We start from the raw sequence: 27,589 nt of genomic DNA, 5'->3' as shown, positions 1-27,589 counted from the left end.
GAGAAGGCTCCAGTTTGAGGGAACGGAAGGAGGCAGTGCTGTGGTGGAGCCATGGGAGAGGAGGCTATGGAGGATCCTGGAGACATGCTGATGTCAGACCAAGGAATTGGTGTTTTGTGGCAAAAGCACTGAACTGTGAGCCTGGGGTCTAGGTCCTAACCCAAGCTCCACTCTGACTGGGTTCCACTGTCTCAGCCTTGCTCTCTGGAGCCCTCTCCAGACGTCAGTGGGAATCATGGCAAGTTCTTAATCAGGACAGTGCCTAGAAATCACAGCTCACAGAATGGTCAAGCTGGTAGGTACCATAGACCTTATCAAATCTAACCCCCTCAATCTGAAACTCAGATGAGAAAACTCAGGTCCAGAGAGATGAAGGGACTTCCCAGCATCACACAGCAAGTCACGGACAGAGTCAGGACTTGGACCCAGATCTCCAGCCTCTCTGTTTGGGGCTCTTTCTCCACTGCAGTCTGGGGTAGCATCAGGGGGACTGAATTGGAGGAAAGCAGCTAGAGGCAGAAGACCACCAGGAGATTACAGCCTCACCCAGACCAGAGATCATGAGGCCGGGGCCAGTCAGAAAATGTTTATTGAGCTCCTCACCCTGCTCCCCATCCTGGGCCCATCTGAGGAATATTGAGCACCCACACAGAGGGACCAACAAAGAAAAGGAACCTGGTGGGGTTCCAGAAGGAGGAGACATAAGGTGGACATGGTATTCATGAGAAGGAAGGGGCATCAGGAGCACACTTGGGTGAGGATCTACAGGAGTAACACCAAGAAAATGCTTTAGAAGCAGGGTCTCACTATGTTGCCCAGGTTGGTCTCAAACTCGTGGCCTCAAGCGATCTGCCAGCCTCTGCCTCCTGAACTGCTGGGATTACAAGTATGAGCCACCACAACCAGCCCCGTGTTTCATGAGCTGTTACTCCATTCCAGGAGCCTATCACTTGGGCCCCCTCTGATTCTTGACCAAGGTGTCCACCTCCTTCATGAACCGGAGACACAGCTCCTCTTCCCATGGCAAAGCAATGCACTGCACAGTCACCAGAACTCCGACGGATCCTCTTACCGCCTGCCAGTAGAGAAGGTCGGGAACTCAGAGCCTGCTTCACAGGCCCCTTGCCTGGCTCTGTTCATCACCCATGCTATTCTGGGCCTCCGTACCAACGGTTGGTCTAGGTATGCTTTAGTCCAAACATCCCTTTCCCAATCTATATTAAGGTAAAAATGACCTAGATCTCAGAATTCCAGGCTTCCTCAGCTCTCAGTGAAACCTGAAAAGACTGTTCTGATTTTATTGCCCATAGTTCTTCAGGGTTAACATGTAAAACTTGCTCCCTGTGCAGAATGCTGATTATAATGACGAAAGAGAAAGCCGAGCATCCACTCAATGTTCAAGCAAGAGAAAGAAGAGCATGCTAATCCCTGATCCAGAGCCTGGTTACCCTTCCACAGTGAAAGCATTGCCTTGGCCCAAAACAGGCCCAGGAACATGGGGGCTAAGCCTGAGTCCCTGCCACGAAATCCAAACGTCCTTGTAGGAATTCAAACCTGTTTTCTTTGCTTTGTGATGATATCATTTGAGGCTTTATTTGCCTTTGTCTCTGGAGTCAGATCACCTGTTTCAAGTCCTAGCTCCTCCACTTCAATTGGCTGTGTGGCTTTGGCCCAGTCCCTTAATCTGTCTGTGCCTCCATTTTCCTCATTTAAAAAACCTCACAGGAGAGTTATTGAATTTAATGATTTAATATTTATACACGGCACTTTTAAACAGCTCCTGGAACAGAGTAAGTGCTCAAGACACATGAGATAGTGTCATTATTGTTATTTTCTCAGAATTCAGGTCAGCAGTTCCACTGGGTAACTCTAGCACTAAAATCAATTTCCAGAAAAAGTAAGTTACTTAATGTCTGACTCAGATACGTGCATATGTTTCAGAGTCGGCCTCTTTCTCTTCCTCTCTCTCCTTCTCTCTCTCACCAAAGTCAGGTGTGTTATTTTAGACCCTGCAGTTAAATATTTGGTAATATTTTCTTTTATGAAACCACTCTGACTTACTAATCATAGTATTTATCGAACACTTCCTACACACAAGACCTTATGCAAATTGCTTCATTCACTTTTTCAAATTAATTAACCTTTAGCACAACCCTACAAAGTAGATGTTTTTATTCCCATTTTCCTGGTGAAGAAACAGAGGTCCCAAGAGAGGTCATATCCAGAGCAGATACACAGTAAGCTCATAACCAGCGGCTTTTGCCCTGCTCTGCCCTCCCTGCCTCTGAGATCATTTTTACCTACAGCAATGCAAAGAAGGCCGGGCGCAATGGCTCACACCTGTAATCCCAGCACATTGGGAGGCCGAGGCAGGCAGATCACTTGAGGCCAGGAGTTTGAGACCAGCCTGACCAACATGGTGAAACCGTGTCTCTACTAAAATTACAAAAATTAGCCGAGCATGGTGGTGCATGCCTGTAGTCCCAGCTACTTGGGAGGCTGAGAGGCAGGAGGATGGCTCAAACTCAGGATGTGGAGGTTGCAGTGAGCTGAGATTGCACCACTGCACATCAGCCTGGGCAAAAGAGTGAGATTCCATCTCAAAAAAAAAAAAAAAAATTAGCCGGGCGTGGTGGCAGGTGCCTGTAATCCCAGCTACTTGGGAGGCTGAGGCAGGAGAATCACTTGAACCCAGGAGGCAGAGGTTGCAGTGAGCCGAGATCGTGCCACTGCACTCCAGCCTGGGCGATAGAGCAAGACTCTGTCTCAAAAAAGAAGGAGAAGGAGAAGGAAAAGGAGGAAGAAGGAGAAGGAGAAGGAGAAGGAAAAGGAGGAAGAAGGAGAAGGAGAAGGAGGGGGAGAAGGAGGAGGAGGAGGAGGAGGAGGAGGAGAAGAAGAAAAAGAAGAAGGAGGGGGAGAAGGAGGAGGAGGAGGAAGAGGAGGAGGAGAAGGAGGAAGAGGGGGAGGGGGAGGGGGAGGAGGAGGAGGCAGAAGAAATACAAAGAAAACCACTGGTTTTGCAAAGTTTTCTCCCCTGACATGGATGGGGCTGACAAGGAGGTCAAATGATGTGTCCTCAGGGTTGGGGTGAAACTAGCATAAGTGCCAAAGGGTGAACACCAGGAATGACCAGTCCCGCCCTACTCTCTCCACCACTACCGTCAGGGGCCCCAACCCGGAGAGAACCAGCCCTGGTTTGTCCCCGCTCCGGGAGAGGCTCGGAGAAGGAAACTGACCTCTGAGAAATTTTTGTCAGAACTATCTCCGTAGCACCCCTTGTAGAAGGCCAGTTCCTCCTCGTCCTGTAGTGTCACGATAGTGACAGGCACCACGCCCGCGGGAAAGTCCAGGAGGTTGTACAGGGTCACATAAGACTGACTTTCTGCAGGAAGATCCAGATAAGCCCAGGAAATCGTCAGCGCAGACTCAGGTGGGGAAGAATGTGGGTGGGCGCCCCCTCCCGGTCCTTCTGGGAACTTCAGCGCTCTGGGCTCGGACTAGCCAATTTGTGTCAGGGGTCATCTTGACAATGGCCTCATGCTCTCCCCAGGGTGGAGGGAAGGACGGAATCTGCATTGCAGAAGCCTCACTCAGTGCCAGGCACTGTGCTGGCCTCATCACATTGCTGATCCCTTGAATCCTCTCCACTCTGTGAGGTGTGGATTACTATTGACTGTGTACAAGTGAGGAAATCGAGGTGGCAGGATTAGGGGCAGGATTAGCCTTTTCTAAGGCTACACAGCTAGTGGATGGCAGAGGATTCAGCCCACGCCCTCCTGTGTACCGGACTTCAAGATAGTAAGGGTGTACAGCGCCACCTGGAGTTGAAAGGACAGCTCTTCTGCAGCAGCCACATGTGTGCAGGGAGAGTCAGGCGTGGGATGAGCCTTTGGCTGGCCACAGTCGGGGGACCCAGGAGGACATGTTCTTAAGGTCAGGGGAGAGGAGTCCAGGCTCAGGTTTGGAACTGAGTTTTATCCTGCCTTGGGTAGCACCTTTGAGACCAGTACCTGTGCATGGGACCCAGGGATGGCCCAGATATTACCCTGTCCTGAGCCCATGTTTTGGACAGGCTGGGCTGAAGACCCCTTTTGAAGTAGGGCAGCAGAGGGCATGTTAAGAGTAAATGGATGGGCTGGGCACAGTGGCTCACGCCTGTAATGCCAGGACTTTGGGAGGCTGAGGTGGGTGGATCACCTGAGGTTAGGAGTTTGAGACCAGCCTAGCCAACATGGCGCAACCCCGTCTCTACTAAAAATGCAAAGATTAGCTGGACGTGGTGGCACACACCTGTAATTCCAGCTACTTGGGAGGCTGAGGCAGGAGAATTGCTTGAAATCAGGAGGCAGAGGAGGTTGCAGTGAGCTGAGATCATGCCACTGCGCTCCAGCCTGGGTGACAGAGCAAGACTCTGTCTCAAAAAAAAAAAAAAAAAAAAAAAAAAAAAAAAAAAAACAGTAAATGGATGTGCTAGGTGGAAGAAGCCAAACACAAAAGCTTCATACCCTTTGATTCCATTTGTATGAAATTCTAGAAAAGGCAAAACTATGGTGACAGAAAGCAGATCAGTGGTTACTGGGGTTAGGGATAGAGTGAACTGCAGAGACATGAGGGAAATTTGGGGGTGATGGAACATGTATCTGTAAAATCTAAAAATATATTCTGTTCTGTATTTCTGATTATAGTGGTGGTTATACAACAGTATACATTTGTCAAAATTCATCAAATTATACTTAAAATCGGTGAATTTTATTGCATGTAAATTATACTTCCATAAAGTTCATTTTTAAAGTGAATGGAAATTGCTAACAGGTACAAGTTTTCCTTTCAGGGTAACAGAAATGTTCAGACATTAGATAATGGTGGTGGTTGCACGACATTTTGAAATATTAAAAACCACTTAATTGTACACTTTAAAATGGTAAGTTTGTGTTATCTGACTTTTATCTCAATTTAAGAAATATTTTTAAAAAGTTAATGGAGATAGAGGGCAAGATCACAGAAGCTGGGGCAGGACTCAGGAGTCCCGGACTCCCAATCTCAACCCCACCAAGACCCAGTGTGCTCTCACCTGATGCTAGGGAGGAAGAGCCTATATAGAAGGCAGAGCCCAGAACTGGCACCAGCAGCACATCCAGGTCCAGGGACCTCCACTTGGCTATGAACTCTTGCTCATATTCCTGCAGGGACAGTGAGGGATGGGAGGGGTAGGAAGGCAGGGGTTACTGTTTGCCAGACAAGGTCAGATGCTGCCAGGCAGCACTGAGTTGCACACCAGGAGGAAGTCTCAGGCTATAAGCTTCAGCCTGAGATACCTGTGGAGGTTCAGGATCTTCCCAGGGACAGAGGTGAAGGGATGGGAAGCTGAATTTCAGGTCACAAGGATTTGGGGACAATGCTCTAGGGAGATGGACTAGAATAACTTCTGAGGTCACCAAGCCCCCCCACCCAGGTCCAGCTGGGCCTTCTCTGCAGGCCAGTTCATAACTCTGACCACTCAGGGCACTACCCAGGTGTCTGCAGCCCCAGCTCCAGCAGCCCCTCAAGGTCTTCCCAGACAGGCATTACCTCCACTGCTGTGTGCTGTTCCCACAGTTTCTTGGGTGTCCTGAAAGAATGAGGAAGACTCTGACAAGTTCAAAGGTCAGCATGGGAGGGAACCCTTTTATACAAATGGGGACATGACAACCAAGGCCTCAGTGCACGCTGCAAATCAGCTGATGGGCTGGGAGTGACCCCGTGTCTTGTCCCCTGGCCAAGACATCTTGCCTGCTCAAGGTCCCCAAGAGCACACATCCTCTGGTCAATCTACCCCCCATTCCACCAGTCACAGGAACTCATGGGCTGCCTCAAAGGCCACAGGCTCCTTACCCTAATCTGTGAGGCACCCAGTTAGCCCTCAGTCCACTCCAGCCCAATTCTGCCCAGCATCTTCATGCCAACCCCACCAGGCCAAGCCCAACAGCAAACCCAAGCCCATACCAGCCTCTCCCAACCTCATCTCTAACCCTAACTCTAGCCCCACCCCAACTCCAGCCTCAGTCCCAACCCTCTTCCAAATCTATCTTCGCCCCACCAACCCCAACTCAAACCAACTCCAACCCCAGCCTCAGTCTTAAGCCCATCCCCAAATAAAACCTAATCTCAACTTCAGTCCCAAATTTTACCTCAACCTAGCCTTAATTCAGATTTTTTTTTCCCTTGAGACAGAGTCTATCTCTATCACCCAGGCTAGAGTGCAGTGGCACCATCTTGGCCCACTGCAAGCTCCACCTCCTGGGTTCAAGTGATTCTCGTGCCTCAGCCTCCCGAGTAGCTGGGATAAAGACACATACCACCACACCCGCTGATTTTTGTATTTTTAGTAGGGACAGGGTTTCATCATGTTGTCCTGGCTGGTCTTGAACCCCTGGCCTCAAGTGATCCTCCCCGCTCAGCCTCCCAAAGTGCTGGGATTACAGGCATGAGCCACCACACCCGGCCTTAATTCAGATCTTAACTCCAAATAAAGTCCCAACACCAATCAAAAGTCTCAATCTAAGCTAATGTCAGGCATGATCCTAAAACCCTAATTAGAGTCCGAAATCTAAATAGATCCCCCCTTAGTGGATACCAGCTCTAGCCTCATGCCCCTCCTCAATTCCCACCATCCCATGGACAACCATTGGAGCAAGAGCTGGCCCTAGGGAGACTCACCCCACTCCACGAATCTCTTCAAGATGCTGGCTAGTTTGGGGATCCTAGAGGGGGGCTGAGAGGGGGAGTCCAACTTCAGAACCCACAGGGAAACAGTCAGCCTGCCCAGGAGGGGGTCCAAGAAGGGTAGCATTGCTCAACGCACTGACGTGGAACCCTCCGATCCTCAACAAGCCTACACCACTTCACCAAGCCCTGAGCTCACACTGGCCCTGTAGCCCTCCAAATGCCCTTCCCCCTTTCTGAGCCTCCTCTCTGAAACCCCCTCCCCTCTCTGTGAGCACCCTACTCTTTTAGCCCCATCCCCTTCTTTCATTATTTGTTTTAATTAATTTTTTTTTATTTTTTTTGAGTCAGAGTCTTACTTGTCACCCAAGCTGGAGTGCAGTGCATAATCTCAGCTCACTGCAGCCTTGATCTTCTGGGCTCAAGTGATACTCCCACCTCAGCCTCCTGAGTAGCTGGGACCACAGGCATGCACCACCATGCCCAGCTATTTTTTTTTCCATTCTTTTTAGAGAATGGAGTCTCACTATGTTGCCCAGGCTGGTCTCAGACTCCTGGGCTCAAGTGATCTTCCTACCTTGGCCTCCCAAAGTGCTGGGATTACATACATGAGCCACTGTGCACCCAGCCCTTCATTCTTCTTCCCCATTTTGAACCCCTCTCTGAGCTACCACCATTCTCTGGGCCTCATCCTCCTCTCTGACCCCACTTCCACTCCTTCTGTGAGCTCCCTCTGCTTTCTGAGCCCCTCCTACTCCCTGTGCTCCCTGCCCTTCCAAAGCCCTCCCTGACTAGGGCCTGCACTTACTATGTACTTTGGGATCCAGGCCAAGAAACATTTGAAGGGGTCTGGCAGGCAGAGCTGGTTGACCATGCCCTTTATGCTGGGATCCACAATGTCCCCCTCTCTGAGGAACCAGTCGCAGATGGGTAAGTCACAGCCCTTAGCCAGTGGCCTGCCCCCACAGCCACCCAACTTCCACGCCGTAGACAAGAAGGAGGCCAAACCCAAAGATGTACTTCTGCCCCACCCCCGGAACAGGTGCATCCTAAAGACAGGCCCAGTGTGTGGTTTGCGGCATAAGGTCACACTATTAGGCAGAGGCACCCCAGCCCAGGCCCCCAGTTTCCCTCCTGGGACTCAGGTTGGCTCCAGCCCACTCCCCTACCTTGTTTCCACCATGCCCCACCCCTGAGTCCCAGCAGATAACGTATAGCTTCTCTAGAAGAGTGGCCCCTCCATCAGTAAACATCCCCCCGTGTACAAGTCTTTGATGGCGTATTCTGCCTGGGGGATGGAGAAGGGGATAACCTGGGGAGGCAGAGGCAGAGTCAGTGTCTGGAGCTTCCCCGACCCTGCCTGGTTCTCTGTCTCTGCATCCCCCAAGATTTCAAGAAGGATGCCACATCATCTCGTGCATCTCCGTCCACCTCAGCGCCTCAGCATGGCATGGGAGGCCTGTGTCACTGGTTGCTCTCCTGCCACCCCACTCCCTCACCCTCACACACAGATGTGACAGAACAGAACGAGAGCAGCCCTCATTTCCTTCATGCTTCACTGTGATCCAGCCAGCGTGCCAAGTGCTTTATCTATGGAACCACATTTAATCTTCACAGCCACCGCATTGGGTAGAAAACAAGCCCAGAGAGGTTAAAAGGCTAGCCCAAGATCACATGGTAGAATCTCAAAGGGGAAGTGAGGCCAGGACAAGCCACTGGGGGCAGGGGAGTTTGGGGTAGGGCTAAGGTAGGGATTTTGGAGACAGAAAGCTCCTTACGGCCACTTGATGGAGGCAACAGAGACCCAAGCTGAAGGAATTATAGGAGTGAGTCCCTGAATCTCCACCACCGAAGGAGGAAGCACAAAAGCTTAATGCCTTCCTTCTAGGGTAGGGCTCACCCTATCCCCACCTCCATCCCATCAGTCTTCTCCAGGAAGCATAGGGGGAACACAGTTATCTCAGCACCTCAAACGCAGATGTAGCCACCTTTGTCTCCAAGGATGGCCCCGCCCAGCATCCTCGCACTGGCCCAGACTCTCTCTCACCCAGGACCAGGTGAGACTACCTGGTGTCAAGCATCCTGGAGCAGCCAGGAGGTGAGCTGCACAGCCCTGGCCATGCTAGGGGATGGCTGGATGTAACCATCTGATTCATAGTAGCCAATTCGAAGGGGCCGGTTACTGGTGTAAACCTAGGGGCACAAGGGGCTGGATGGAGCTCGGAGGAGAGATTGTGCTGGGGACAAGGTGGCCCCACTCTATCCAGGAGCCAGACTTTAAGGGCAGGGCCTTGGTCTACAGCTGTCCTCACAAAGGGGGGAATCCATGTGGACACCCCAAGACCCCCTGGGAGCCTCCCTATATACTCTCCAGGCTCTAGGTGCTCTGCGGAAACCCCTGGAGGAAAGAGAAATGGATGAGATGGGTGGTTGGGCAGATGGGGTGGATAGTAGATAGATGGTAGACAGACTCCTGGGTGGGTGGGTGGATGTATGTATGAGATGGTGGGTAGTTGGGTGGGCAGAGGGTTGAATGCATATGTGGGTGAGTGGGTGAATGGATGGTTGGAGTTGAGTGGGTGGGCAGGTGAGTAAGTCATGCATAGACTCAAATATCTTTAAGCTAAAGAAATGTTAGGAGAATATGAGGCTGGAGATCTATAGGGACAAATACCCAGACCAGGGTCTGAGATGGAGGGCCCCTAGTCCTGGGAAGTGGGGTGCTGCCAGAAAGGCAGCCGCCCCTCACCCGTCACACAACACATGTTTGTAGGGGCAAATCATGGATGATATACAATGATCTCAGGTTGATAATGCTAGGAGGGGTGTAGGGAATCCGAGGAACAGACATTGCCGGGACGTAGACAGAAACTGCCCTATGGAGAGGGTTCTGCAGTTAGATAGGGCTGGGTTCAAAGCCAGCTCTGCCAGTTACTAACTACATGATCTTAGGCAAGTCATTTCACTTCCCCTCAGTCTCCCCAGCTGTAAATGGGAGGAGCACTGCTCACTCTATAGAGTGTTAGGATGAGACACGCAGAGCCTGGCACACAACTGGTACAAGCAAATGTTGTTGAATGAATTAACGAATAAATGAAGGCTGCTGTAGACAGAAGGGTGTGGAGTAATCTCCCAGCCTAACCTCTTTATTGTATTGATGGGGAGGCTAAGGCTGAAAGAAGAGATGTGACTTGGCCAGGGTTACCTAGAGGGTTAAAAACCCAGCTTAACTGGATGCCACACCCTCTCAACCACACTTGCTGAGTATTCTAACTGCATGGGTTGGGTATATGGCACTGGAGGCCCTCTTTGGGGGCACTTACAAGCTATGGCTCCAGATAGCCAAGAAGCCAAAGCAGCTGGTGTCCAGCAGGGGAAGGAAACAAACTGGACTGAGCATGTGGGCTTCTCACTCACTGCAGCCTGGGGTGGGAAAGGGGGTCTTCACCTGGGAAGGTAAGATGGCAGACAGGTCAGGGAGGAATGATGGTGGGGGGCAAGGAAACCCCCAGGTCTGCTCTCCCACCTGGCTTACCTCCTCCCTAAAGGGCATCTGGAGCACAGTGGGGTCCAGTCGGTACATGTCTTCACTCAGCAGGGCTTGCAGGCACAGCGCCAGGCTCTCCACGTCCTGGGCCATGGGGCCAGCCACCGTGGTCACTGCACAAAGAGGAGGGGAGAGAGGCAGGCACCTCTCGTTTTGTTTGCTTGTTGTGTTTTGTTTTTTGTTTGTTGGTTTTTGAGACGAAGTTTTTCTCTGTCACCCAGGCTGGAGTGCAGTGGCACCATCTCTGCTTACTACAACCTCCACCTCCCGGGTTCAAGTGATTCTCCTGCCTCAGCCTCCCCAGTAGCTGGAATTACAGGTGCCCGCCACCACACCTGGCTAATTTTTGTATTTCTAGTAGAGACGGGGTTTCACCATGTTGGCCAGGCTGGTCTCGAATTCCTGACCTCAAGTGATCGCCCACCTCAGCCTCCCAAAGTGCTGGGATTACAGGCATGAGCCACTGCGCCCAGCAAGCACCTCTCATTTGTTGTGCCCTGGGGATCCCAACTGCCTGGCCTCAGAGGGTGGGTTCCAGGGTCATGGTCAGGACGAAGGAAGAGATTAAAGCTAGATAGCAGGACAAAAGCCCTTCTCAGAGGGCCAAGAGTCACTGGACAAGGGGAGGCCAGGTGGGAACCATGCAGTCTGCCCTCTCAGTCATCATCTGTGGGGCTGATCTGTCTGGAGATATGAGCTGAGCAAAATGTCCTTGGGAGAAAGACTGGCAGTTTCATCTTTAAATGGGGTGGCCACAGGCACAGACCAGGACTTACCCGATTTTTTTCCCCTTGATGGCAGAGGCAATTCCAGTGTAGCTGCAAAACATTCCGACCCAGAGCCCAGCTCAGCATGTGAAGGGAGGGGCCTGGGTGCTAGGAGGCTTGAGCACCCAGGCGATGTGCTCCCCCAGGGCGCAGCCCACAAAAATAGGAGCTGCTTCAACATTCCCTGACCCTCTGCTGCCCACAGCATAGTCTGATCTCTTTGACTGCTTTTCAAGACTCTAACTCTCCATGGCTTCCCCTTCTAGCCCTTCCACACGTGCATATTGCTGCAGGCAAAGTCAGCCGCTTACAAACAATCTTACAGCCTTCTAGACGCCACATCATCTTGGCATGTCTGGCCCTCAAAACCACGCTCAAATGCTGCCTCCTCCAGGAATCCTTCCCTTCCCTTGCCCTGCCTCTGAAAGTCAAGAGTATAAGCTTTTAATAAATCTCTGTTAAAGAAAATGTCAGCTTCCTCTTGTAAGCTTTGACCCTCTCTTACAGACCTGATCACTTTCTGACTAACTCATTTGTGTGTCTAAGAGCACAGCAGGGGCAGGGGCTGGGTCCAAGAGTGGTCTATGTCCCCAGAATAGGGGCCATGGTGTGGGTACACAGAGAGGGGTTGAGAGATGGGTGGATGCATGCATGCATATACGATGAACGGATGGATGGATGGATGGATGGATGGATGGATGGATGGATGGATGGATGGATGGAGAGATACAAATGTGGATTGATGGATGGATACACAAATGGATGGATGGAAAGATGGATGGATAAATGGTTGGAAGGAAGAGTATGTGTAAGTTTTTCAAGGGCTGAGATATTTGTCTCTTTTGTTCACCGAAGTAACCCAAGTAGCTAGTACCCAAGGAGCTGTTGTGTCTGACACAGTAAATAGTCAATAGAAATCTTTTAAATAAATAGTGGATGAATGGTAAAATTGATTGATGGATAGAGACTGAGATGATGACCATGTGGGTGATTGAATGGATGAAGGACAGATAGATACATGGACAGATTGATGAGTAAGAGAAGGGGTATGTGGATGGATAGCTGTATAGATTAATGAATTAATGAGCTGATGAGTTAATGAGTGGAAGGTCTATTCTACTGCCACCTGGAAAAATATGGTATGTTTAGCATGGCTACTGCAGGAGTTATTTGAAGCCCTCCTACCCACTTCCCCTAGTACTGAGTTGGGTAGATGAAAGTTGATGGGAGGAGCAGACCCCTCTACTTCCCCACCCTCTAGTTCCCTTAGGCAGGTCCGAGCCCACCCCACCACCACCATCAATGAGTACCTGAGGCGGGAACCTGTGGTCCAGAGGCCATAAACACCACAGAAGCTGGCTGGTATGCAGATGCTGTCACCTGTGTCAGTACCCATGCCTAGGATGGACCCCCTTTCTGCCAGCAGAGCCCCTCACCCCCTGAGGAGCCCCCACATGTCTTCTTTAAGTTCAGTGGGCTCAACATCTGGCCATAGATGGGAGTTGCCGCATTCAAAGCTAAGGGAAGCAGAAGAAAATGAGCTGAGGGTGAAAGCCTCACTCGGCAGACCTCTCCCCATATGGGGGCCAACCACCCTCCAGAGTCAACCCCAGGGCTTCCTGGGCTCCATGAGCTCCTCCCTAAGGCTGAGGCTTCCTGGGCTCCCTTCCAGCTGGGGTGAGGGGCTGCTGCTGCAAGAAAGACCAAGATCAGACACCAGCCATGACTCCTAATATCAGGACCAAAGAGCCCACAGCTCTGCCATCAGAACTGAGAACATGTTCCTCACGAAACACAGATGCACTACAGGCTGAGTAGAGAAGGGAGAGAATAAGCGATGGGGAGAACAATCAAAGAGAGAAGCCTGGGTAGAAATAGAACAATTTGAGAGAGAAACTGGGATAGAAAAAGAGTGTAGCTTTACAGAACCTTGGAGCCCGAAGGGCCCTTACAGACTGTGGAGTCCATCCACATGTTCTGTGATAAAGAAACTCAGCCCCGGGGACAGAAGGGGCTGGCCCAAGAACCCTGGTCTTTGAAGTCTGTATGACTAGCCCCCTCCTCACCCTCTGCCCTGAATCAGGACTTCAAAGAGCTGTTTCAGCCCTGGGCTTAGCCCAGCCCCCGACCCCAGCTAGCCCGCTTCAGAGACCTGAGCAGCGTCAGTGGGATGTTGGTCTTAACAAAGGGGATGGCTCCTTGGGCCTTGAGCACTTTCATAATGACCCCGTCCTTGGTCGCAGGCTTCTCCAGGAACTAGGCCAGGCGGCATGCACAGTCATGGCCCTGCAGGGAAGGAACATTGCCTCCAGCCATGGGGGTCAGGGTGGAACCAGCCAGCTGGCTGATTTTCAGCCCCATTCCACCCCCCTCACACACACTCTCACACCCCTGGGGACACAAGCGCAGCACTTCACGGATGGCAAAAGAGTGTGGTGGCTGAGAATTTGGGGTTTGGAACCCAAATTCTGGGTATAAACCTCAGTTTGCCGCTTCGTAGCTGTGCAGTTTTAAATGACTCACCCATTGTCACACACTGAGCCCCCCAGTGTCACACACCAAGCTCCAGGCTGGTGGCACAAGCGTGCATATGCACATTCGTGTGCATGTACACCCCAGGCTCACCATGCTGTCATAGGTGTCCTTGAGGCTCATGGGGACCCCATAGAGAAGGCCTCTCTCACTCTTCTTAAGCTTCTTTAATGCCTGCAGTTCCTCCTCACATTCCCCCAGGAAATCCATCAGGCAGTTCACCTCCTGGTGCACCTTCAGTGCCTGCACAACAGTGAAGACAGCAGACAACAGCCCCAGGTGAGGCCAGGACCAAAGCAGGGCACTCGGTTGCCCCAGCCCCTCCTGCCACCCTGAGGTAACTGTGGCATGTGCCACCTCCCAAGTCAGTGGCAGAGTTACACCTGCCCCTCAGCTCCTCTGAGTAAAACAATGACAAGTGACATCCCCCACTCCAGCCCAGAGCCCCGGGCTTGGATCCTGTGCCCTGGCCACCACCTGCTTTAAGTAGCTACAGAGGATGCTCTCCAGACTCAGCTCTTCGGTCCGAAGCTGCTGGGCCAGCTCTGCCAGGGGCAGCTCCAGGATTGGCTTGGGGTCCAGATCTGGCTCCTGCAGAAATGAGATGGAGTAGGCAGATATCCAAGATGGACCCGCTAAGGCCCACTCCCACACACTCCACATCACACCCCAGACTCCCCTATGCACAGCTGCACACACGCCCATGTCTCTCGGTACATGTTCCGGCACTCATGCTTAGCACTAAAAACATCTGTTGTGTCTCCAGGTTGTCATGAAAACCCTCCAAGGGCACGATGTTCTCCTCTGCCTCTGCCCCCAGTGGCCAGCCCAGGGCCTGGCGTGGAGAAGGGCCTGCCCCTTCATGCTGCTCTTCAGAAGGGTCACAACTGGAGTGGGGGTGACTCCACATGTGACATCATGAGACTGGAGGTTATGGAAGTGAAGTTCAGCCCTGGGTGGCTGGCCTTCAGGGGCATCCCAGGCATCCCACCTCTCCTCCCTACCCAGTCCTCCCCCTGCTGAGCTGACTTTAGGGAGGCAGGAGTCCAGCATGGGTGGCAAGAGAGTTAGCACCATCTTGGCCGCGCCCTTGGTCAGCTGGGTAACTGGAGGTGGTTCTCTGCTCCTCCCATGGCCTAGGTCTCCTCAGAGAGGGAAGGACTAGGAGTCCATCCTGAGTCAGCCCCTCAACTGCTCTGAGCCCCGTCCTTCAGGATATGAGGGGAGGTCTGATACCAGGCCCTCAGGACTGCCGCCCTGGGCAAGTGTGACATGACAAAGGTCTAGCACACAGCAGGCACTCAGGAAGGCAAAGTTCTCTTCCTCTTGCCCCCCTCAGCTCTGGTTAAGACCCCGATGCCTCCAAGCTGGAGTATGGGTTGGGCAAGAAGTGGGCTTTTCTTGGTCCTGGAGGTGGGGGAAGGTGGAGACAAATAAATTTCCCTTGGAGGTTAGGATCCCCTGGCTCCAGTCTGTCTTCTTTCATTCCTCAAAGCAACCAGTCTGACATCTGTCCTCCCCTCTGCACTGGGCCCCTTCTCACCAAGGGCATCAAGACTTCTCGGTTACTAAATCTTATGGATTCGGGTTAGTCTTCATCTCACTCTCCTCAGCAGCGTCTGACACTCTCCCTCCCAAAGCTCTCTATGCCCCCAACTCTGCTGGCCTCCTCCCACCCTCAGGTGGCTCCTTCTCAGTTGCCTGAAATGTTGGTGTTCCTCAGGGCATGACCTTTTCTCTCCCTGCCTGCCCACTCTCCATGGGTGACCTCGGCAGCCAGGTGCACCCCAAGGATAAGCAGGCCACCTGTTTCTCTAACCTAGGCCTCTCTTCCGCCAGGACTCAGACCCCTTTACCTACCCACATATACACAGACTCCCCAGGACTCACCTTCTTTCAGCCAAATCTGTTCTTCTTGAAATTCCCAATTGATGACATGCATGTCACCAAAGCAACAAACCTCAGAATCATCCTAGGTCCTCCCTCACACCCAAGTTCTGATAATAGTTACACTAGCTAACATAATCACACTAGGATGTGTTCTAACACTTAATAGTGCCAGGCCCTATTCCAGACACTTTGCATATAATCAGTCATTGCCTATAATGAATTTTGGAAGGCCGAGGTGGGAGGATTTCTTGAAGCCAGGAGTTTGAGGCTGCAGTGAGCTATGATCTCACTGCTGCATTCCAGCCTGGATGACATGAGACCCTGTCTCCAAGAAAATTGTAAATTAAAAATTTACAATTTTTAATTGTAACAACCCTAAGAGGTAGGTCACATCGTTTTCTCATTTCACAGCAGAAGACAACACTGAGGCACAGAGACCTCCTCCTCTTTGCCCGAGGATACACAGCCAGTAAGTGGCAGAGCTGGACCCAGGCAGTCCAACACCAGTGACCACATTCTTAACTGCACACACTGCCTGCAGGTGGTTCTACTCCTTCGTATCTCCCACCTCGGACCCTCAGGCCTCTTGCCTGCCTAAGGACCTCTCTCTGTTGGCTCATTGGCCTCCTCACTGGCCTCCTTGGCTTGGCCTCCACGGCTTGGCCTCCACTCCTCCAACTCAGCCTCTTCACTGCAGCCTGGGCAATCCTTTTAAGATCTTATAAGGCCCACTCTGAAAATAGGTCCCAGTAGCCCTCAGGATAACATTGCAGCACCATTCTCACCAGCACCACTTGCAAAGCCTTCACTGTAAATGTGTAACATGGGTTCTTGCTTCGATGTACACAATTCCCATTGACCAAGTATTCAGAGTATCACTGTGGGGCTGGAAACCCTCTCAAGCCCTTTACTGCACCGTTTCATTAAATCCTCACAAAAACCCTTGGCTAAGTGCTGTTATTACTGTTTCCATTTCCCCAGTGAAGGCAACTGAGACCCGGAGAGACTAACTCTCTTGCCCAAGGTCAGAGGACAGGGGAGCCTGGGCTTAAACCCAGGCCGTCCATACCTTAACCACTACCCTCTCCTGGCTCTTGGGGCATCTTGTGGAAGGGAGGCTTTTTAAGGTGCCAGGCACTGGACCAGGGTCTTTCCCTGCTTGGGTCCAGTGGGCCTGTCTCTCTCAGCCTCTCCCATGCATGCTGCTCCAGCCACACTGTCCAGTCCCTTTCCTTGCTGTGCCTCAGCTCAGAGCTCCCCAGCTGGTGTGCCACAGGGACTCTCAGGAGGGTCCAGACACAGATCCCTTGGACAGGGCTAGCATTCAGCCAGGATGCACCACCACAGCCATGCCAGTGGCTAAACTACTGAAACATTTCTGAGTCACTTGGCAAAAAGCTGCTCTGCTGGGCACCCCCCACCACCCTAGTTGTCCTAGCCCCTCCCCAGGACTCCACCCTCTCTACACAGTCCAGCAAGTAAAGTTAATGCTCAGCCCAGCAGGGACCCTCTAGGCATAGGGACTGTGGAGGGCCAGCCTGGGTTCATCCCTTGCCCTGCGCCCTCCAACCCTAAGGAGCCCTAGCGGGCCCCGCCAGGGACCTCCCTGCACTCACAGGTCCCCAGACGCACCCCAGAGACATCAGCAGCTGCACACCAGCCCCCATTTCTATATTTCTACCTGGAGAGACAACACCCCTGGTGGCACCCCATGGGCAAGTGCCCAATGTGTCCCTCTGGGCCCCTGAGGCTAGCCTTCCCCTGCAGCTGTCCTTGCATGGCCATTTGTGGGAATGGCAGCCTCTGGGGCACTTTGACTCTCAGGGAGCTTGGGGAGAGGTGGGAAGAGCAGGCAAGGGCAGGGGTTGGGGAGTGGCTAATGTGACCTCTGCAGGTGGCTGCTGAGACCACAGCAGGCGCTCCAGGGACCTGGGAGGACAGAATGTCACATCCATCTAATAGAACATATTCTGCTCACCCAAAATACCCACTCACCATGGACAACAACAGTAGCTTCATTCCTAAAGTGAGAACTATCACTTGTACAGACAGTCCCAACTTACCATGGTTCAACTTACAATCTTTGACTTTACGGTAGCGCAAAAGCGATTGATATACATTCATCGGAAAGCAGTAAAAGGCCGGGCACGTTTGCTCACGCCTGTAATTCCAGCACTTTGGGAGGCCAAGGTGGGGGGATCACCTGAGGTCAGGAGTTCAAGACCAGCCTGGCCAACATGGCAAAACCCTGTCTCTACTAAAAATACAAAAGTTAGCCGGGCGTGGTGGCGCACACCTGTAATCCCAGCTACTCGGGAGGATGAGGCAGGAGAATCTCTTGAACCTGGGAGGCAGAGGTTGCAGTGAGCTGAGACTGCGCCACTGCACTCCAGCCTGGGAGACAGAGCCAGACTCCGTCTCAAAAAAAAGAAAAAAAAAAAAAAAAGCAGTAAGATACTCTCTTGATTCTCGATACTGGACAGTGCCAGCAAGACTAGCTCCCAGTCAGCCACAAAATCACAAGGGAAACAGTGAATCCTCTACAGGGTACTGTGTTGCCAGGTGATTTTGCCCAACCGTGGGCTAATGTAAGTGTTCTGAGCATGTTTCAAAAAGGCTAGGCTAAGCTATGATGTTGGGTGGGTTGTATGTATTAAGTGCATTTTCAACTTACAATATTTTCAATTTAGGATGAGTTTATCAGGATGAAGCCCCACGGTAAGTCGAGGAGCATCTGTATGGTGTTTGCTGTGTACCAGGCACCACTGTAAACATTTATTAACTTGTTTGAGTGCTATCATTACAATCATCATACCATTGTAGAGATGAAGAAGTTAAGATACAGAGTAGTCATTTAAGTGTAAGTGTTTGCTGGGTTTGGTGGCTCACGCCTGTAATGCTAGCACTTTGGGAGTCTGAGGTGGGAGGATTGCTTGAGGCCAGGAGTTCAAGACAATGTAAAATGATAAAATCAAACAAAATAAAAAGTGTCAAGAGTCAGGATTCAAACAGCCAGCCCAACAACAGAAGCCACACTCTTAGCTGCCATGCTAGACAACTTCTAATTAGTGTTAATGACATTCTAATAACAATGTTTATTACTTAATTGACAACAGAGATGCTTAACTACATGAAATCTAACACTGTATTAGAAAAGCTAGAAAATTGTGAGTGTAATTGCTACTGGTTCAGCAAAAGCTGAGAGAGGACTCCACCCACGGAACAATATCACTAACGTTAAGAGAAAGACTCTCCTTAATCAGACTGCAAGTGACCTAATGACTCCAATGTATCAGGAGCGCTTTGAAAGACAGGGACAACTTTCAAAAGATGATAGCCACATCACAGGATCCTCACAACAAATTCTAAAAATCAACAAATTAGCCAGGCGCAGTGGCGAGCATCTGTAATCCCAGCACTTTGGGAGGCCAAAGCGGGCGGATCACCTGTGGTCAGGAGTTCGAGACTAACATGGTGAAACCCCGTTTCTACTCAAAATCCAAAAAAAAAAAAATTTAGCCGGGCATGGTGGTGAGCGCCTGTAATCCCAGCTACCTAGGAGGCTGAGGCAGGAGAATCACTTGAACCCGGGAGGCGGAGATTGCAGTGAGCCAAGATTGCGCCATTGCACTCCAGCATGAGCAACAAGAGCAAAACTCTGTCTCAAAAAAAAAAAAAAGAAAGAGAAAAAAGGCCGGGCGCGGTGACTTACGCCTGTAATCCCAGCACTTTGGGAGGCCGAGGTGGGCAGATCACCTGAGGTCAGGAGTTCGAGACCAGCCTCAACATGGAGAAACCCCATCTCTACTAAAAATACAAAATTAGCTGGGCGTGGTGGTGCATGCCTGTAATCCCAGCTACTTGGGAGGCTGAGATAGGAGAATTGCTTGAATCTGGGAGGCGGAGGTTGCGGTGAGCCGAGATCATGCCATTGCACTCCAGCCTGGGCAACAAGAGCGAAACTCCGTCTCCAAAAAAAAAAAAAAAAAGCTAAAAATCAACAAATTATTTGAATAATTTGATGAAAAATTGAGCCTCAAGTTATATCACTTTTTAATATGTAATTTAGTTTGGAGCTAACCCTTCCCTCCAGCTCCATCCCACAGCCCCACGGACATCCAGCCTTCTCTGTACTCAGGGTGCTGCCTCCAGCCTAGTTTGAAAAACAAAAAAAATGTAATTTAAAGTTTTTAGTGAATCAATGTATTATTAATATTTATGGCCGGGCACGGTGGCTCACGCCTGTAATCCCAGCACTTTGGGAGGCCAAGGTGGGAGGATCACGAGGTCAAGAGATCAAGACCATCCTGGCCAACATGGTGAAACCCCATGTCTACGAAAAATACAAAAATTAGTTGGGCTTGGTGGGACTTGCCTGTAATCCCAGCTACTCTGGAGGCTGAGGCAAGAGAATTGCTTCAACTCGGGAGGTGGAGGTTGCAGGGAGCTGAGATCAGGCCACTGCACTCCAGCCTGGGCAACAAAGTGAGACTCCGTCTGAAAAAAAAAAAAATTCCAATGTGGTGGTTAAATGTTTAGTATCATAAAAACCGTCAACTCTCAAGGTGGCCAGGCTCTGCCTGAGGTGAGCAGAGCTTCCTGGCCATGAGTAGCTTGAGCAGTTCCAGCCATGAGCAGCTGGTCCATTTACCCAATGGGTCCTAGGAATATTATTTTCTATACGTTCTACAGAAACACTGCCTCATCTGGGGCTTCTCCCTCCCTGGTACTGCCTTTCTCGTTTCTCCTTTCAGAAAAGTCCTACAGGTGCCATGAGGTTCAGCTCACTCACCACCCGTCTGGGGAGCCCTCCCAACATGATCCTCTCCAGACAGACCAGCCACCCTCCTGCCAAGTCACCAGTTCTGTGGGCATCTGGCCTCACCACACTCTGCCGTGCTGCTGCCCTGCATAGTCTGCACAGCTCTATCTCCACCACGCCCCTCCCAGGTTGGGAACATTTTTAGCACAAGTGTGAGTCAGGGGTCAGATTCATCTTTATAATGAATGTGTCCCCAGAGCTCAGCACAGGGCAAGACCTGGAGAAATTCCCTGGGAAATTTTACTAAACTCAGCAGAATTGAATTTGTTTGCTGAGCCTGTGAGGGTTTGACCTGTGTCCCAGCCTTGCACCTCCCCGGGACATAAAGGTGGACACCTGAGGTCTCGAGGTTGTCACTGGCAGAGAGAGGGTGACATGACTGAGAAGGTGCCCAGGACAGACCTGTATAGCTTGTTGGGGAGACAGCAAGGTGCTGAGAGCCAAGAAGCCTGAAACCACAATGGGAGGCTGGAGACACCATGAGTGACCTCACCCCAAAACCTCTTCCACTCCTCCAGCCATCCAGACATATACCCCCTCCAGGTCCCCAGCCCAACAGCCCAGACATCCACATGTTCACCAACCAGATGCCCAGACACATACCAAACCAGCTGCCCCCACACATCAGACACACAACCACACACAAACACTCTCTACCAGACATTCAGACCCACACCAGCCACACATAGCTAGATGTACACACTCCAACCAATAACCCAACACATGCACACCCAGCCAGGCACATAACCACACAGCCAGACCAGACACACAACCAACCACAACACAATGAAATGCCAGCAGGAGGCACAAGAAAGCAGGCCCTCGTCCGCAGTAAAGGAAGCTATACCCACCACCGCACACAGATGGGGCCTCCACACGCACACAGGACGCCTCCATCATGCCCATTCACCACTGCAACCCATTAGCCCAGACTTCCTCCTCATCAACCAGGGAGGGGCAGCTGCTCTCTGGGGGCAGATTGATTTATCCAACTAATTAGCCCTAATTAATATTAATACACATACTCAGCAACTGCAGCAACTCAGACAGAGAAGCTGCCCATTGGGGCCATCAATCACCATCCAGGGGACAGCAGAGGACACTCAGGAACTCCAAAGCATGGGAACAGCACCTCAGGCACTAGCCCCAGCCCCTACCTCCGGGCTCCCAGACTGAGTCCACCATCATCAACCAAAGCTGGAGACCCCGAGAGACCATGAGCCCATCCCCCCTCAGACAGCTGGGGAGTCCAAGGCCCAGAGACGGGTTGTCACATCCTCCAGGCCACACAGCAAATCCCAGGCTCAGTCTATGTTTGTCTCCATGTCCCTCCTTCCCGCCCTTCTCTCTGCCACCTGGGGCAGGCTTTGCTGATACATCTATGGCTCAGCCACTTCGCCTGCCAGTCTCAGCCCAGCCAGCCACAGAGGCTATCCCAGTGAAATACCCCCACTCCGAGTTGCCAAAGCTGCCTCTGAAGACCTGCAGCTTCCTGGGAGACCCCATCCCCAGCCCCCCATGCTCTGCACTTATCAGGGCTCAGCAAGTGTTTTCAGAGCTGAATGGGGTGGAGGTAGGAGGGGACAGGTAGACTAGGGTTCCTGTCTTGGGGGATTTTGGAGTGCTCAGGGGCTAAAAGAGATCGAGCCTCCCTCCTCCAATGGCCTCCATCAGTTTATCTTATTTCCGCAAATACCCTAAGTGGGCACCTCCCATGTTACTGAGCCACGTGCCAAGTGCTGGGAGAACAGAGAAAGAATACACTGCCCCCAATCTCCAGGGTCTCAAAGGCCGGGGATGGAGGAGAACTGACAACCACACACAGAGCTGGCATGGGGGGAGAACTGGGGGTGGGGAAGTGCCCACCTGCTCCCTGTGTCTGCGGGGGCTGGGGTCATGGACGGGAGGGGCATCCTGAGGTGTAGTCCTCCTGTTGGGATTGAGGGCCAAGGCCCCCTGTGGCTGGGGGCCTCCGGGACCCGTGTCGACTCACCTGCTGCCGGAGTCACTGGGCCAGGTCCTCCATCTTCTGCAGTGCTACCTCCCTCCACTTCTGGGCCCTGGGGATCTTGTTCCGGGCTGGAGCATGCCACGAGGTGAGCAGGGAAGCCCCCAGTAGGCCAGCCCCCAGCAGGGCCAGCAGAAGTAGCATCATCAGGGAGTCAAACAGCCAAGCCACCTTAGGTATTGCACGACCTGTGTGAATCCAGCTGCTGTTTCCTCAGGAGTATTTGTCAGCGATGCTGCCAGGGCACCCACGCACATCTCGGGCCCTGGGTGTGGCAGTGATCAACCTCCTCCTAGTTCTTACCCCATCTGGACTTCCTGGCGACAAAACCCCTATCTCCCGGGCCATGCAGAGGAAGAGGCTTTAGCAGGCGAGCCTGAAGAAGGGCCCAAGCCTGCAGCTGGGCAGCTGACCTCACCTCTGTCACATCCTACTCCCACCCATCCTACCTCTCAGATCCCACCCCTCAGATTCCCTACTCCAACCCTCAGGAGTTATGGATGGGGTTGCTCCTGGGGTTCCCATTGCCTTCAGGATTCTCCCAAAGCTCCTTTGTTCCGCATAAGCAGACGCATGGAGGTGGAACTGAACAGGCCATGTTTGCCTAGAGTGGAGGTTCTGGGGGACAGGAAGAGAGGAAAGGAAAGAACACCTGGAGGAGCGGGCAGGGCTCATCAGGCATCCACCCCAGGGGAGATGATGCCAGGACATGAGACCAGCCCGCCCAGCTGGGCTTCCCCCTTGACTCCAAAGCAAGGCCATGACTCTGATCCGGGGTTCCAGCCTCCCCAGTCTATTGACTCTCCCTGCTGGTGGAGGGGAGTTGTGGGGGTAAGGGAGATGACTTCCCAGACGAGGAACAGAGAAGACATGAGGAGACTGGAAAAGTGGTGCAGAGGGGCCCTGATGTGGGAACCATTCTGCTCTCCTCAGGGGCCTCCATCCAGTCTCCATCTCAATGGTCATCACTGAGACTGCAAGTCACTGTACCCAGGAGAATGGCGCCTTTGCCCTCCAGACCAGGAAGCCAGGGCAGCAGCAGGTTAGGGTGGGAAGGAACTGAATTCATGGTTGGTAATGTTGAGTCTGAGTACCCGAGGGTCTAAAGGAACAGATGCGAGGTCAGCAGTTGACTAAGGGTGACCCTGAAGTTGCCCACTCTGTAACACTCTGTCATCTCCCTGGGGCCTCCAGACCAGCCCTCCTCTGTCCTTCTGCCTCTTTTCTGACCATTTTCTTCCATAGCCCCCACTCCACCTTCATGAACTCCAGCTCTCCCCCATATCTTCAGCTCCCCCAGGCCACTTGTCACCCGCACCACATCCCACGGCACAGCACTCTAGGCCTCGTGACCTCACCTTTTCCTGGGTTACACCCTTCCGTTACCACATACCTCATTTTATCTCATCATTACACTTATCATTAGCTGAAGTTTTCTTGTTGATCTGTAACTCACCTCCTGCCTCCCTCCCTAGAAAATAAGCTCCGTAAAAGCACAGACGAGGCCAGGCACAGTGGCTCACGCCTGTAATCCCAGCACTTTGGGCGGATCAATTGAGCTCAGGAGTTTGAGCTCAACCTGGACAACACGGCAAGACCCCATCTCTACAGAAAATGCAAAAAAATTAGCTGGGGGGTTGGGGGAGCATAGACCTTGTCAGCCTTTTTCAAAACACCTGGCACATGGTATGTGTTCAATGGTATCTCTTCAGTGAAGAAATGATGGCAGGTTGAGCCCTCCATTCCTACCTTGACTTCCCCCCTCTGTGCGTTGCTGCTAGCTCTTTCCTAGCAGCATTTAACATGCTAAGTCTCTCCTATCTTGGGGGATGAGGGATGATTCCCTCAGATTTACACCCTCCCTAACTACTACCACGTCTTTTGTCCGCTTCCTGAACTTTTCCAGTTTTCTACACGGGCTGCCTTTACTTCTTCACCTTTCACTCACTCCCCCACCCAACAAAGTCTGGCTTGTGCCTATATCATCCCAGTGATCTCCTCAAGAGTAAATCAGCAGCATTTAGAGTTGTCAGCTTCACCCTCCTTGAAACACACTCATTCCTTGGCTCAGGTGACAATGCAGTTTTCAGCTTCAATGTTACTTCCTCCAGGAAGCATTCCCTGACACACACATACACACATCTCAGGCTGGATCAGATCCCACGTGGTTTATTCTCATAATACCCAGGGCTTCTGCTTGATTGCACTTCTAACGAGTGTTTCTGTGTAATTCTACATTTGATGTCTGTTTCCTGGTAGAATGGAAGCTCCATTCAGGCAGGGACTATTTCTGATTGGTTACCCTGAACATACTGTGGGAAGAATTCAATATTTTTATTGCATGGATGGGAGGATGAATGGAGGGAGCAACCCTCCATTGTTGTTCAGAGAGCAACCCTCTCTGAATTTCAGTTTCCTTATATATGAAATGGAAATAATAAGCCCATTTTACAAAGGAGATAATGGGTTCAACTCCACAGCCTAACGGATGTTGGATTCTATTAAGACACAGTCCCTGCTTTCTACCAAGTGCAGAAGCACAAAGAAGCTCTTTCAACAGCCTGAGAGAGATGAAGGAGTTAAGAGGATGAGAGAAGTGGATAGATGAGGATCTACAGACCAGGAGAAAGCTATAGGTTGAATGTAGACTGGGAATTATTTGTCCTCATGGGCACTAATCAAGATCATGGCTCCTAGCATTTTGGGAGGCTGAGGCAGGTGGATTGCCTGAGGTCAAGAGTTCGAGACCAGCCTAGCCAACATAGTGAAACCCCATCTCTACTATAAATACAAAAAATTAGCTGGGCGTGGTGGCAGGCGCCTATAATCCCAGCTACTCCGGAGGCTGAGGCAGGAAAATCGCTTGAACCCAGGAGGCAGAGGTTGCAGTAAGCCGAGATCCTGCCATTGCACTCCAGCCTGGGCAACAGTGCAAGACTCCATCTCAAAAAAAAAAAAAAAAAAGATCATGGAGGTAGATACAATAAATGTGAAAGGAGCAAAGGGTCAGGGACTGATTGGAAAATTCCCTATTGGAGGTGAGAAGAGGAAGTAATCAGAATGGACCAAAATGGGTTCCCTAATAACAAGTCACCCATTGCTCCATTCAACAAGCCTTCTCTGGGTACCCACTGAGTACCAGGCACCATGCTGGGTGCTGAGCATACACAGCCCGATCCCAAGTGGCTTCACCTTCCTGAGGTGCCCAGGGCCGCCACCCCAAATCTATGTGTAGGAAACTTGGGAGGGCCCAGCTAAGCCCAGCCAGAGAAATGTGAACTAAAGATACATCTGGCTGGGAAGCTCAAAACTCGGTTATGTGTCTGTCTGTTAAGGGTGTAGGTCACGCCCTTTCCTTGGTCTGCTGTGATCCATAGGTTTATGGGTGACTTGGATGAAGTTGCAGAGGTCCAGTGCTCAGATTTGTGGATAAGCACATGTTGGGAGGAAGAGCAGAAACAGCCAGAGCTCTTGGGATAATCCTAAAAATGGTGTCCAACAGGAACAAATGACAAGTGCTCTGGCTGTGTCCTAAAACTCCAATATCGCAATCGCCAGGAGAGAAAAGGGAGGGTGGACAGGGACATGGCAGCTATCTCCTGTAAACAGATATTGGCAGAGGTGCACAGTACACAGGACTGCTTCTGTCTTCAAAGTGTTGTGGTCGCCTAGCACAGAGGCTGGTGTCCGAAGAATGTTGAATGCATGTTCTTGTGATGATTGTACAAATGAGGAAGTCACAGTAAGTTTAGAGTTGAGCGTGTGGGTTTCAAGTCTTCTCTGTAACCCATAATGATCAGCCTTCAACAAGTCAGCAATCCCCTCTGAACTTCAGTTTCCTTATGTATAAAATGGAAATAATAGGGCCAGACACGGTAGCTCACACCTGTAATCTCAGCACTTTGGGAGGCCAAGGCGGGCGGATCACTTGAGATCAGGAGTTGAGGACCAGCCTGGCCAACATAGTGAAACCCCATCTCTACCACAAATACAAAACATAGCCAGGCATGGTGGCAGGCGCCTGGAGTCCCAGCTATACTCGGGAGTCTGAGGCAGGAAAATCGCTTGAAGCCAGGAGGCGGAGGCTGCAGTGAGCTGAGATCGCACCACTGCACTCCAGCCTGGGTGGCAGAGGAAGACGCCATCTCAAAGAAAAAGAAAAGAAAAAAGGCCAGGCGCAGTGGCTCACGCCTGTAATCCCAGCACTTTGGCCAAGGCAGGTGGACCACCTGAGGTCGGGAGTTCGAAACCAGCCTGGCCAACGTGGTGAAACCCCATCTCTACTACAAATACAAAACATAGCCGGGCACAGTGGCAGGCGCCTGTAATCCCAGCTACTTGGGAGGCTGAGGCAGGAGAATCACTTGAACCCAGAGACAGAGGTTGCAGTGAGCCAAGATCGTGCCATTGAACTCCAGCCTGGGCGACAGAGAGAGACTCTGTCTCAAAAAATAAATAAATAAATAAATTTTTTAAATGGAAATAGTAATGCCCACTTTCCAAATGAGATAATGGGTATTCAACTCCACAGCCTAACAGATGTTGGGTTCTATTAATACACAGACCTTGCTTTTGACCACGTGCAGAAGCACAAAGAAGCTCTTTCAACACAGCCTGACAGAGTTGGAAGAGCAATTGCCCTCACCTTGGACGAGTAGGTGGTCTTTAGGTGGAGACCCCAGGAACAACACTCCAGGCACAGCAAGCACCAAGAGCAAAGGGCGTGGAGGCGGGAGATCACTCGGTGTTCTGAACATTACCTGCAGGCCACGTGGCCGGGCTGTGAGCACTGAGGAAGGGCAGGAGATGAGGCCGCAGGGGCCAGCTGCAGGGTCAGGTTAATCATGGCCTTGCAGGTCATAACAAGGCTTCTGGACTTGGCACAAGTGAGTCCAAAGATTTTAAGCATGAGATTGCCTAACTGCCATGTGAAAGATTGTTGGAGATGTCCAGTCTGGAGCCCAGGGAAGCGAGGCAAAAAGCTGTGGCAGGCCGGGCACAGTGGCTCACGCCTGTAATCCCAGCACTTTGGGAGGCCAAGGCAGGCAGATCACCTGAGGTCAGGAGTTCAAGACCAGCCTGACTAACATGGAGAAATCCCATCTCTACTAAAAATACAAAATTAGCTGGGCATGGTGGCACACGCCTGTAATCCCAGATACTCGGGAGGCTGAGGCAGGAGAATCACTTGAATCCGGTAGGCAGAGGTTGCAGTGAGCTGAGATCTCGCCATTGCACTCCAGCCTGCACAACAAGAGCGAAACTCCGTCTCGAAAAAAAAAAAGAAGCTGTGGCAGTGGACCCGGTGAGAAGGGGAAAGG

At 51.5% G+C, this 27,589-nt stretch overlaps 1 pseudogene across 1 annotated transcript, besides 4 other annotated features; it reads right to left on the bottom strand.

Moving 5' to 3' along the window:
• Positions 1-571: 571 nt before the first annotated feature.
• Positions 572-12,447, bottom strand: FAAHP1 (fatty acid amide hydrolase pseudogene 1; annotated as a pseudogene). The gene is made up of 9 exons (NR_045483.1): positions 12,327-12,447; positions 11,026-11,067; positions 10,238-10,362; positions 10,026-10,150; positions 6,697-6,751; positions 5,569-5,608; positions 5,072-5,180; positions 3,237-3,382; positions 572-1,075 (listed from the first exon to the last, which is right to left on the bottom strand). The product of NR_045483.1 is annotated as a fatty acid amide hydrolase pseudogene 1 (transcript).
• Positions 3,157-3,396: an enhancer, noted in NCBI's record as "active region_1003". NCBI's record gives its function as "activates an Ori minimal core promoter by ATAC-STARR-seq in GM12878 lymphoblastoid cells {active_cell/tissue: GM12878}" and the evidence as "EXISTENCE:reporter gene assay evidence [ECO:0000049][PMID:35858748]".
• Positions 3,917-4,046: an enhancer, noted in NCBI's record as "active region_1002". NCBI's record gives its function as "activates an Ori minimal core promoter by ATAC-STARR-seq in GM12878 lymphoblastoid cells {active_cell/tissue: GM12878}" and the evidence as "EXISTENCE:reporter gene assay evidence [ECO:0000049][PMID:35858748]".
• Positions 12,809-13,529: an enhancer, noted in NCBI's record as "H3K4me1 hESC enhancer chr1:46898417-46899137 (GRCh37/hg19 assembly coordinates)". NCBI's record gives its function as "activates a minimal SCP1, AML or CMV promoter by ChIP-STARR-seq in primed H9 embryonic stem cells {active_cell/tissue: H9 hESC(primed)}" and the evidence as "EXISTENCE:reporter gene assay evidence [ECO:0000049][PMID:30033119]".
• Positions 26,018-26,067: an enhancer, noted in NCBI's record as "active region_1001". NCBI's record gives its function as "activates an Ori minimal core promoter by ATAC-STARR-seq in GM12878 lymphoblastoid cells {active_cell/tissue: GM12878}" and the evidence as "EXISTENCE:reporter gene assay evidence [ECO:0000049][PMID:35858748]".

This window comes from Homo sapiens, chromosome 1 (assembly GCF_000001405.40).
Source record: "Homo sapiens chromosome 1, GRCh38.p14 Primary Assembly".
Lineage (NCBI taxonomy): Eukaryota > Metazoa > Chordata > Mammalia > Primates > Hominidae > Homo > Homo sapiens.
This window is presented reverse-complemented; position numbering and strand designations above follow the sequence as displayed.